General features: G+C 39.0%; 1 protein-coding gene across 5 annotated transcripts in view; it reads right to left on the reverse strand.

Moving 5' to 3' along the window:
* The window catches only part of RASEF (RAS and EF-hand domain containing), a 239,635-nt gene that overhangs the window by 11,820 nt on the left and 214,989 nt on the right, over positions 1-12,826 (reverse strand). For all 5 annotated transcript variants that reach the window (XM_047422827.1, XM_005251730.5, NM_152573.4 and 2 more), the window contains 6 exons: positions 9,487-9,721; positions 9,024-9,161; positions 8,760-8,907; positions 6,956-7,037; positions 5,603-5,717; positions 1,497-1,616 (listed from right to left, as the gene is read on the reverse strand). In XM_047422827.1, the coding sequence (XP_047278783.1) occupies positions 1,497-1,616; positions 5,603-5,717; positions 6,956-7,037; positions 8,760-8,907; positions 9,024-9,161; positions 9,487-9,721 (838 nt within the window). The remainder of the gene's footprint in view (positions 1-1,496; positions 1,617-5,602; positions 5,718-6,955; positions 7,038-8,759; positions 8,908-9,023; positions 9,162-9,486; positions 9,722-12,826) is intronic.

A 12,826-nucleotide genomic window follows, 5' to 3' on the forward strand; every position in this document is an offset into this window, starting at 1 on the left:
TTATTTTTGTGTGCCTGTCTGACTAGCTGGAGACATTTTCTCTTAATAAAGGAGAACTAAGTGTTGTGGGCCTAGGTGTGGGTTAAACAGTCCTGTGTGGGACAAGGGAAGGAGGTGACACTTGCTCTAGAACAGGGAGAATGAGAAAAGCCAGGAAATGGGGAAAAATGCCACAATGGGACCTTTACTCGTAAGCCCACAAATCCATAGAAAATCTGCAAACACCACAAAGTAAATGCATTTCTGGTAGAAACCATCAGTGCTGGTGTTGACTTCTACATCCAGGATGATATGGGGTGAAACAGAGACTGCCTTTGAGGATGCAGGACTGTGGAGGTCAAGAGATGCATAAGGAAGCAAACTTTGGGAACTCTGCGAAATCATGGAGAGGGAATAAAGCTGGCAGGCAGCCAAGAATAACTAGATTTCAAAGTATCTGTGTGAGACCATGTCTAGCATGTGGATTTCATGAGTTTAACATCTGTCTCCCTCAGACAGTAAACAATACGAGGGCAAGGACTGTTTGCTTTGTTCTCTGCTCTTGGCCCAGCACACAATGAAGTGTTTGTTACATGGTGGATACCAATAAATATGGGTTGAGTGAATCTCTTCTGCATTTCATTGCCTAGTTTTGACATTTATCACATTTGGTTTGCAGTTCTAAATTTTAAAACAAGAACGATTATTCCAGCTTAAAATATTAAAACTGAAACTTCTTTTTGAAGTTCACATACGTATGCTACAGAGTAGTCCTTTCCTGGTGCTGACGACAGACAACACTATCAACATCAAATCAGACTGCTGCAATATTAATTTATTTGACCCAAAGTGCATCTGACTACTTGTATGGGTAAGACAGGTCATAACAGAGCTAGGTAGCATTCTGACATGATGACAGATGACACTGATGGGAGAATAAACACTGCCCATGACAACAATCTGAATAGGAATGAGTTTATTCCTATATACAAATGCATACCCCAAAATGCATATGCATTTGTATATGGGAATGATTTTTTATATCAACTAAACACAAATCTTAGAGAAGAAAAGAAGTCATCCAATTCCCTTCCACACAGGTGAGACACTGTACCTTCTTCTGCCTTTGGCATTATAACCCTCTGAAACCAAAGCCATCTTTTCAAAATAGGACACTATTTTCTTCCTTTACTTGGATTCCAGGACTAGAGAAGGTTTCTAGGAACTAGGTGAGAGGGAGGAGGAAGATGATGGGATTATTTGGGTTCCTTTCTGTCAATGATACTCAATGGGAGAAAATGATTATGTGATTGTTTTATTTTCCCAAGGGACTTAATCCTTGGCATAAAAGAGGTGGGAGTCATGGCAGTTTTGCCTGTGTTAAGGACAGATGCCTCAGACGGGGGAGGTTTGTCAAAGGACCTCTCAAGCAAAGGTAGACAAAAGTGAAAGGCCACCGACTTCAAAGCCATTAAACCCCATGTTCTCTTCTAATTCTGAGGCATCCTCACTCTTACCATGGCCAGTTTCTCTCCAAAGTGCCCTGGGACACATTTTTGTCCCTCTGTAGCAGCAGTGTCACGAATGTCAGCCTTGTTTCCTACCAGCATAATGGGAACAGTCTCATGGGCTGCATCCTACCAGGAAGAAAAAAAAAATGGGGCACACATCAAACACTGGACACATTACGATGACCACAGAACAACAGCAACAGCAATTACCATTTTCCCTTTGCCTCCTTTGTGCCAAATCCTATATAGAGGATATCTTTAAACCTCAAAGTATCTCTAAAAACAGCCATACATTTTCCCATTCACAGAAGAGAAAACTGAAATTCAGAGAGGTTAAATAAGAAGGTATAAGGGTCAGGGCCTGGATCCAAACTAACTCCATAACGCTTGCCTCTATATAATGCCCCATCCTTAGGTTAATGAAAAGACTAAAAGGCACTGGGATTAATCAGTTTTATGGCAAAGGAAACACATATCTGTTAATTTCTTATCTCCAGCACACAGAGCACTACAAGCCAATATAAACTCAAAAGGCATGACCACAGAATCATATTTGGCTGTGCTGCCCACATAATTTTCTACAACTGTTATTTTAAACAATAGTGATCACAAGCCAAGTTCATTATTACAGTTATAAAACACACAGTAATTTTTCAACTATAATGAAACAAAAAGGGAGTTTGGAAGTTCCACACTCACTGCTCTCTGGTTTACAACAAAAGCAAAATATAAAAGTCCTGAAGGTCAACATTTTTCTAAGAAAGAGTCAAGTACCAATCTTTCAAAGTAATGGATTCTAAGATAAGCCTCCCATGTCAGCCTATGCAATTGTCACAGGGTCCCACAGTCACAGTGAAGCTCACAGAATGTGAGATGAGTGTGGCAGAGGCAAGTCTGAGACCCAGCCCTCCACCAGCTGGACCCACTGGCTGTGTGAGGTCAGGCAAGTCTCTGCAGCTTTCCGCTCCAGTCTCCTTGTCTGTAAAATGAAGGACTGAATGAAGGCATTTCCCACCTCAGCAGGCTATGATGAGAATACAAGAAGACAACCTGACTAGCACAGAAACACAAGTTTCTGGTTCCTAAATAAGAGAAGTGGCAGCCCTGATGAAAACATGTGGAAATTACTCTTTGCAGTGACTAAAGATACCTGCGTACTCATTGGGTTTGGGGCTATTCCTGATACAGGATCAAAAAACGTGCCTCAACATGAAATCATCATTGACTTCCTTTCTCTTCAGGCAACTTTCCTTGGACTGAAGGCTCCAGAGTGTAATAAAATCAAAGGAAAGGGAATGAATGGCCCTCTCCAAAATTAGCTGTTTCGCTCATTAATGCGCTCGTTAATTGTGTTCTTTGATGACCTCAGGATGCAAGGGGCATCACTTGAAAGTTATTAGTCAAATATTCATTTCAGTAAGCCCAAGAATCCAGGCATCTAAATGACTTCTCAAAGCCACAGAGGTAAAGGGCACCTCCTTCAAGTCTTGACTTAAATATGTCCTTCCCAGTGAGGCTACCTTGAAGAAAACCACAGCCCACTTCCTTATCGTCAGGCCTTTTAACCTGCTCTCGTTTTGTTTGTATAACATTATCACCTTCTACCATATCATTTCATTTATTGATCTATGTTTGCTGCTTTTCATCTGTCTCCCCCACTGGAACACAAGCTCCATAAGGACAGGGCTCTGTTTTCTTAACAGATATATCCCGAGAACCTAGACTACTACACAGGAACCGGGCAGATCCTCAAAAAATAGTTTTGAATGTGTTAAAACTGGGAAGAGATATTACATCTCAAGTATCTCCATTCAGCTTTTACCCAAATATTCGATCAATAAAATATTCATGACAGATAAACAAATGGCTATAATTTTACTTTATCCATAATTCTATTACAAGATTTTTTAACTCAGCAGTTTTCCATTGAAGTATATCAATTATTAATTCAGAGGGTCTGTTCACCGCTGACAGTCTACAGCTTCTCAATCCTCTGGCTTACCCCAATGATCACACCATTCATTTCCGCCCATATTTACAGTGGCCATATAAACTGTCCCTGTAGGAGTTCCTCAAATTAGAAACAGTAAGCCATGGAGAAACTTCACTGTGCTCATTCTTTTTCTAAGGTGAAAGTCAAATGCCATTAGTAGTATGTAATTTTTCATCCATAACAAACTTAAGAATTCATCTCTTCTATAGTTTTCTTCCTTTTCAGACCATAGGAAAACGTGATACCAATGGCGGAAAAGATGACAACGTGTGAAGTTGCTTTGCAAATTATGGCAGTGGGCCACTCTACATAAGGGTTATTTCACTGTGGCTGATCTTGCCTTTTGTGCCTCCTTTTCTTGAGCATAACCCAAAGATTTTAAATAAAGACTAATCCAAAATGTCAACAATAAAACAGTTTTGCTGTGGATTTTAAACACTAGTATGGATGAGTTAGGGTTATCTGTTATTCTCTGGACTTATTGCTCCATCCCAGGGATCTCCATTTGTTCACTTGAGTAGCCATTGCTCCTCTATGCACTAATTATACCTTGGGATTCCTTTTTATTTGAGATGGGGGTCTCGCTCTGTCACTCAGGCTGGAGTGCAGTAGCACAATCACGGCTTACTTCAGCCTCGACCTCCTAGGGCTCAGGTGATCCTCCCACCTCAGCCTCCCAAGCAGCTGGGACTAGAGGTCCATACTAACATGCCTGGGTAATTTTTGTATTTTTTGTACAGATGGGGTCTCACTATGTTGCCCAGACTGATCTCAAACTCCTCGGCTCAAACCATCTGCCTGCCTTGACTACCCAAAGTGCTGGAATTATAGTCCTTGGGATTCCTTCTTGATATCAGAGGCTTCTTCAAGTAATCTTCTGCTCACACTGGTGCTATATCAAAACAGCAACCACTGTTCAATCAGGAGGTTCGGTTTGAGCCCCTATTCTATTCCTAACCACTAAATAACTCTAAGCAAGAGCTACCTATGCTTTCTATGCCTCAAGTTTCTCATAAAAACTTAGGATAATATGTTTTCTTATTTCATTTCTCAGATGCTAGAGAGATGACTATAACATGGGAAATTTTGTGAAGTAAAAATGTTACATAAATGTAAACACACTTTCACTGTGTTTACAATCATTTTAAGCCATGATAAGTTGGTAGAACAGAGTGCATATTTATTTATCACTGTCAAAGTCTTACTGCCAATTGCAATCAGTCATTTCTCACACTACTTCTTTAGTTAGAAAGAGAACAATAATGCCAGAAGCTAAATTGAGATCAGACAGCAACCAGTCCTCTGTTCAGCCACTACTGCAATTTAATGCCTTCTTAAATTACAGGTAATATACTTAGTTGAAAAGTTGTATTAATATACTTAGTTGAAAAGTTTATTTTTCAAGAGAGCATGCTGAACCATAGCTGGAACTGTAGTGTTATGTTAGTAACTGTTGGCAGCATGCTAAATGGGGTCAAAATCATTTACTTTTAAAAATTATTTACCATGAAACCAGAGGACAGGAATGTTCCTTAGGTGAAAGACATCATCTTATTTAACCACAGAAAGCACAGAAGCTATGCCCATGTTTAAAATATCAACTGGTATTTCGGTAGTACCTTGAGACATCTAAAGATCCCAAATCACTACCAGAATAAGGTTGAGAAGAGAAGAGAGCTCCCATACAATTTGAAACTTGACGCACGCTCATATCCAGGTGGTGTTTCACCTGTACTTCCCATGCCCGTGGATGCCCCCACATGCCCCCAACTACACTACACAACCAACCACACCATCTCCTTGTTTGTAATAACTTCTTCCTAGGCTACCTGGATTTTTACTTGCTTACGATGGGATTCTGATTTTATCTATAAGAAAACCTAGAAGTTTTATTCCCCAAAGCTCCCTTCATTAGTGTCCTTGGCTTCAGGGAAATGTGCCCAAATCCTGAGGAAGAGATGAATGCTGCCAGTTCTGCCTGTAGCATCCAATTCTTCCTGATGGCTTGGATCAATGGTTCCTAATCAAGTTCATTCTGACAAAGAAGAGAGACAGCATTTTCCAAGATGGCCTAAAACTTCCTCGTGTAATTTTCTGTTTCTCCATTATGATTTCTTACCTCAATCATATCTACCCATTCTCGTATGTTAAGAAAGCTTTTCTCACATGTAACATCATACAGCAGCAAAACACCATCTGCCTTTCTGAAGTAAGACTTGGCAATACTTCTGAATCTGAGAAAGAGAAAACCACATCATCAGTCAGTTTGTGTTGCCTCATTCTTCTTCTCTTTTATGCTCATTTTTTTCTCCTCTTCTAAAATCAACACCAGTTGAGAAGACTCTAACTGCAATATATGACTGAGACATAGGCATTTCAAAGGTCTCGAATGACCCAATGAAAGGTAACATGATGAGAATCTGGGTGACCGACTTAGAAAATCCAATCCTTCTCTCTACCAAACAACCCCAAGAATGTCTACAATCCCCAGAGCACAACCAGGGAAAGGTTGAGAGCACAGTTTCCAAAAATTTCAACCTCAGCAACAAGCTACCAGAACCCACATGTGGGACACAGAGGAGGCTGGAAGGAGATACGAACTAGAGAATACTTATTTTTGGTGGTGGTGGTGGTTAGGGAGTATTGTGGGTGGATGGAGGAACTACCAGTGTGGAACGCTGTAACATACCAGGACTTTACATACATGGGGGTCAGGAGATTCACCTTGGGAAGAGAACACCTCAACACACATGCCCTAACTTGAAACCCAGTGCAATATTTTATAAGTATTTTAAATACAGTCATGTCAACCACAAATATTTTTTATATGTTGAAATTCCCAATCTGCTAGAGAATATGAGCACCATGGGGGCAGGTATTTGTGCCTGTCTGTTCACCACTGAATCTCAGCATGCTGAATAATGCCTGGTACAGAGGCAGGCACCCCATACTTACGGGTTGAACAATTGAATGGATTTTGTTCCGAAGGAGTTAAACAAGATTAAAATCTGTGCTTAATGCTCTGCTTATCGGTAATGAATGCAAGGTAAAGTGCCATCACCAAATGCAAGTCTGCTATGCGGTTTGTGCCTCTGCCCTTAATCAAGGGGAGCTGACTGGTTCTCTTCTCCATCATTTATTGTTCTATAGCCAGGGAGTTCCTCAGGCTGTCACTGCACTCAAAAATGCTGCCTCTCATGTTAGCAAAGGGCACTCTCTGTCTCAACTGAACATCAGCTCAAAAGAAGCTTAAAGATCCTCTTCTCACAGGAGTCATAGGTAAATGAAGGAGATGTGCGAGAATATAAGCATTTTAAAGTTATAATACATTTTATAATTATACATGTAATTATGCATATAATTATAAAGTATGTTATAATTATAGAATTTTGAGTATGAAGAACATCAAGTGGCCTGCAAGGCTTGTTAATGCAAACCCAGGATATCCCATAGCGCTGCGGAATGCACTTGCCTCTCCTGACCAGCTGTATCCCAGAGCTGCAGAACTGTTCGTTCTCCATCCACAATGAGGGTTTTCATTTGGAAATCAACTCCTGAAAAGGAATGTGAGAGTGGAGAGCACGATGTAAATAATTCCATTGGCTTTTTACTTTCAAGCCTTCTTTAGATGAAGCAAAAGCCAATAATACACAGCTCAGCCAGGGAGGGAGGAATGAACATGACCTTTAAGGAGAGTGACCTTCAAATAGGAATGACAAGTCAGACCACACGTGTGTGCAGAGGCACCATCTGCAGGTTGGCTGACTTGGGGAATGATTTAATTTATGAGCCAAGGGAAAAATCTGTTTTATTTTCCCTGATGACTGGATGAACTCAGTCATATTTGTGTGTGTGTGTGTGTGGGTGTGTGTACATGTGTGTATGAGTGGGCATGCATGAATGTGCAGGTGTATACGTGTGTGTATGTATGTGTGTAGGTGCAGATACGTGTTTTGTGTATATGCATGTATGTATATGTATATGTAGGTATATATGTATAAATGTATGTATATCTAAACATGTATACATATGCGTGTGTATATATACACACGTTAGTGCACACACACATTTACATGCATCATGGTCTCTGACAACTGAACCAAATACTGTATGTAGTCTTTTTATGAATCAAATTGAAGTAAACTTTCAGCTTTGTTAATGTTGAAGAGTGTATCAGAGAACCATAAATTTACAAAGACACTCATGTGAAGAGGACAATCAGTCTGTTCTAACATTTCGGGTGATCAAAATAAGAACTCTTTAGACGAAGAAGAAAAATAAATGATAATTTGCATATCTTCAACTCCTTTTACTATTATGCAAATTTGGGAAATCAGGATACTACTTGTTCTATTGTTCTGTTGTGAAGGTGGGTAACGGATCATATATCTGGCTATGATTTTGACCATAATGACAAAGTGGCAATCCATATTGTCACTTTGTCAACATCAAATACTTCAGCAGAAAGGGTTTTCCTGGCCACCCTGCGTAAAACCGCACCTCTCCCTAAACTTCTTTTTTGTACCTTTTCCCTCCACTGGGATGTAAGTGCAGTGCAGGCTGGGATTGTCAGCCTTCTTCATGGTGTATCGTTTGTACCTACAACAGCATCTTGTTTTTAGTGGGACTCAGGAAATACATGCTGAATAAATGAATCTGATATCTCAGGATCTAAATTTGATTCAATTCATCTGATTGGCTAAGCAGATATCTCTCTTTTTTTTTTTTTGTGGCAGGGTCTCACTCTATCACCCAGGCTGAAGTGCAGTGGTGTGATCTCGGCTCACTGCAACCTCCGCCTCCCAGGTTCAAGCGACTCTCCAGCCTCAGCCTCCCGAGTTGCTGGGACAACCAGCACCCACCAGCATGCCCAACTAATTTTTGTATTTTTGGTAGAGATGGGGTTTCGCCATGTTGGCCAGGCTGGTCTTGAACTCCTGACCTCAAGTGATCTGCCTGGCTCGGCCTCCCAAAGTGCTGGGATTACAGGCATGAACCACCGCACCCAGCCAGATATCTCTGTCATTTTAATCTTCCTTTCCTAAAAGCAGGCCTTGGCCAAAACAAGAAAGACCTTTCCATAGACTAGGAGACACACACACACACACACACACACACACACACACACACACACACACACACACATTTATATATGTGTGCATACACAGAGAAAGAGAAAACTGTTAACTGAGCATCTGTGTATGTAATCCCTGAAGAAGAGAAAATCAAGCTAAGGAAGGTCATTTTCCCATTATCAACCGAAATACGAGCCATACCCAGGGTGGCGCTTATATTTTCTCGAAATTCATTCTTGCAAAGTCTCATGAGGAAACTAGACTTCCCCACTGCAGCGTCCCCAGCAAGTACAATCTTGTAAGCCTTCTGTGAGCTAAAAGATTTAGCGTTGTCATCTACCAGGTCTGTCTGGGGGGAAAAGCCACAGTGAATGATAACGGTATTGCCAGTTTTCATCCTAATAAGTAACACTGCACAGAAAATAAGCAGTGTTCATGAATAGGAGTGTCTCGGAGACCACCTACCTGGGGCGAGAGTGCTGAGATGGGCTTTCTTGATGAACTAACAATGCTGCCTTCACTAACAGACCCTTGGGGCTTCCAGTCTAAGACGGAAGCCACATCTTCTAAACCAAATGTCTCTTCATCCCTTATGTCAGGAACCTATTTTTTTTAAAATGTCAGCAGTTAAATTAAAAAATGTCAGCAGTTAAAATACAAAGTCTAAAATGTATACATTATGGATTAAAAAGAAGAAAACTATGCAGCTAAATCAACAGTCAATGCTATTAATATTAGGGAATAGAGTGACACTGAATGGCAATCTATGAGAATTTCTCCCTAACTCTGTGGAGGAAAAAGCATTTTACTAACTATGCTTTACATCTATGACCTTTAAAACAGATTTCCATGACAGATAGAAGGCAAATAAGGTGACAGATTTCAATCACGTAGAAGGCCTAGGAGAGCAGTGGTTTCTGGGGCTTACATCTGTGTCTGAAGCATCACCTCCAAAGCTCTCCTGCACCCCGTGTGACCTCTGAAATCCCCTCTGGTGCTTGTATTCCACTTCTGAGTCATACTCATTGGGATCTCTCAAGGTAGACAAGCCGCTGTCGAAGCAGCTTTCAGGCAGGCTGTCAACTTCACAATTTGTCCTCTGCAGAGGATCACAGAGGGCCAGGGAGTCACAGTCCTCATCCACATAGGAAGAGCGGGATGACCTGGTAATAAAGGGGAAGACCAATTTACCTGAGGGCTGGAAATGCTCAAGAACATACAGGCAATAGACCACATGCCATTAGATGGAATCAAGTAGGCCGACTGTGGCTAAGAGCCGCAGTGTTATTTCATGATTAGGCATTAGGGGAAATAAAATGCTCAAAGCACCATCAGTTCATTCTATGCAGCAATCAGTTAAGATAAAGAACCTTACATCAAACACTTAACAAACAAAGCCATTAAAAAAATAATGTTCTTTATTTCCTGATACAAAAAGAATTAGAGTACCTAAGACATAAACACAATCGCAAGTTGTATTCATAAAAATGTATGCAGAATATATGAGCTTTTTTACTCTAAGGTGGTCAGACCATATTCTGAACATTGTGTCCATTTCTGGATAACATCTCTACTTAAAAGGGCTGCTGAGAGCCCAAACAGAAAAGGCAACCACAATGTCAGACTCAAGACCCTCAGAGCTGAAAAATAAGATTCAGTGTACTCAACTTAACTCTTAATGGTTTCTCTCTTCAAATACTTGAAGAGCTGATACATGAAGAAGACCACATCCTCTCAGGTTGCACAAGACAAAATAAGATAAGCTTTTCTGGGTGTCATATTTCTAATCAACATGGCAAAAAATGATAGGCAATTAGAAACATCTGATAAAAATAAGCAATTAGAAACATGACTGGAATGTATGATTTGACACGTAAGTTTTCTGCCACTAAATGTTGACACACCGTCTGGAAACACCCCTCTGGGAGACGTTTCATAGGGAGGGAGGTGCCTCAGATAAAGGCTGGAACTCCTGACTTCTATAGATCTTACCATTAGTGAAACTCTGAAGATTTTATAAGTGAGGGAGAAATTCACATCAAATAAGAGAATCATAAGAAACTGTATACATTCCTGTTTACTTTAGCTTTTCCATTTGATTTCCATAAGAATCTAAGTTTACCAATTATGGTTATGACTTATTTACCACCCACTACACCCTGGGCACCACCCTACCAATTTGCTTACACGAATCATTGGAAAGGGAGAATGGGCACGATACATAGGTCTTCAGATATGAGAAACAAGAAGTGGATATGCTTAGATGAGAGAAGGTAAGCTTAATATAATTAAGTGTGAGCCATGTAAATCTGAGAAGTCAAAAGTATTTTTATGCCATTAGCAAATGTTTAAAATTAATTAAAAAGATGATGTAACTAACTTTCTCTCTCTCAATACTGCTCAATTACAAAGTCTTTATTCTGAGCCAAGAATTTTATATCATAACTCAATCTATATAGCTAGCTACGTGTGTGCATGTGTGCGTGTGTGTGTTAATATACTGTTAATAACAATAACAATAAAATATATTGTTAATATATTTTAATATTTATTTATTGTTAATATATACTATTAATAACAATAACAATGAAAATATATTGCCAATATATTATTGCATTATTTATAAAACTCTCCTTCTGAAACTGATTTTAGGTCCATCTATAAAGCACATAAGAAAACCATTCTAATTATAATATACTACAAACTACTTCAGTTCCATGTCTTCATTACTGGTTATGATTTATTTTAAGCCTACTTGTATTTTGACAAGGAGCAAAGAAAACATCAAGTTCTGAATTAAGAATTCACCTGAATAAACATCTAGACTCTAAATTGAAAATATAGGCACACTCAGCATTATGCAATATACTCATGTAACAAATCTGTGCATGTACCCCCTGAATCTTAAATAAAAGTTGAAAATTTTTAAAAGTAAAAATAAAAACATAGGTACAGGTCAAACTTTCTCAAACTCAATTGAACTGCATATCCTTTTCAAAGTCAACCATCTTGCCAACACTCAATAATTTCATTATAATTAACTATGTAAAAGTACAAAACAAATTAAATCTTTGTTAGAGTTCTTGCGAAGAACAAAGCCAAAATAAATTTTAAAGTTAAAACCAAATAAAGCTATAAAAACAATACAATTTTATTGTACATCTAATCTGATGTACAACATGCTTTTATTACATTTTTATATTAGCATCAAAAAGAAAATAAAATGTTATCTTCTTATGTCAAAATAATCACCCCCCCACACACACCCAGAAGGGGCATGGTGTTGAGGCTACGGTGGCCTCTCATTACAGCTCAAGGAGGTAGGCACATGAGTGCTACGTCACTCAAACATGCTGGGGACGTGATGACTTTGTCCCCTAGAATCTTTCGTTGATGAGCTCTACTCCAGTTCTTATGAGGCTTTCATGGTGTCTAATCTTTCCAAAATGAATCATGGTGAAATTTCTGAAATACTTTTCAGTTGTATACCTTTCCCCCCAATTTGCTTAGAATCAGTTTTAAATATTAGTCAAAAATGACATCACACCTACACATTTTTAAAAATCGATTATTTCTCAATAACAGAATAGTCAGCCATCTATAAATCAAGCCATTAAATTTTTTTATTGAGCTAATCAGTGAACAGTAGAAACCACTTAAACCTGATACAATTTTCTTAGAAATGATCACCAATAAGCCTTCGTAACAGGTCTTCCTAAATGGCAACCTGACCATTTCTAACACCAGGATGTTAAGTACATTATTCTTTTTATCAAAAGTACCCAAATGAAAAGGGGATGAACGTGAATCTGAAAGTCACAAAGAAATAGAGAGTCGGAAACTTTTTGTTTATGCTTTCACTTCTAATTTCAAATTTTTGACATATTACTAAATTAACTAGCAACACTGGACATATGTGTATAAACATACACATACACTCATGTAATCTCTAAGTGATTACTAGGTCTCAAGTAATAAAAGGCCTAATATTTCAGTTCATTTGATTAAACACAAGGCTAAATTCTAACTTTTGGCAAGCCTCTGTGACTCCTTCAATACAGTAGCTATTTTACAAGGATCTACTAGTGATATTTATATTTGCTTTGAGAGTTTCCCTTTTCTGCAACATAGCTCATATAATATTATGCTGAGCTATTAAATATTTACAGATCATGCCAATAGTTTCAACATTATATACCAGAAACACTGCAGCATCATATACTATAATTCTGCTGGTTTCCCTGAAACATCTCTTATTGAGTCTGCTT

This window comes from Homo sapiens, chromosome 9 (assembly GCF_000001405.40).
Source record: "Homo sapiens chromosome 9, GRCh38.p14 Primary Assembly".
In the NCBI taxonomy this organism is placed as follows: domain Eukaryota; kingdom Metazoa; phylum Chordata; class Mammalia; order Primates; family Hominidae; genus Homo; species Homo sapiens.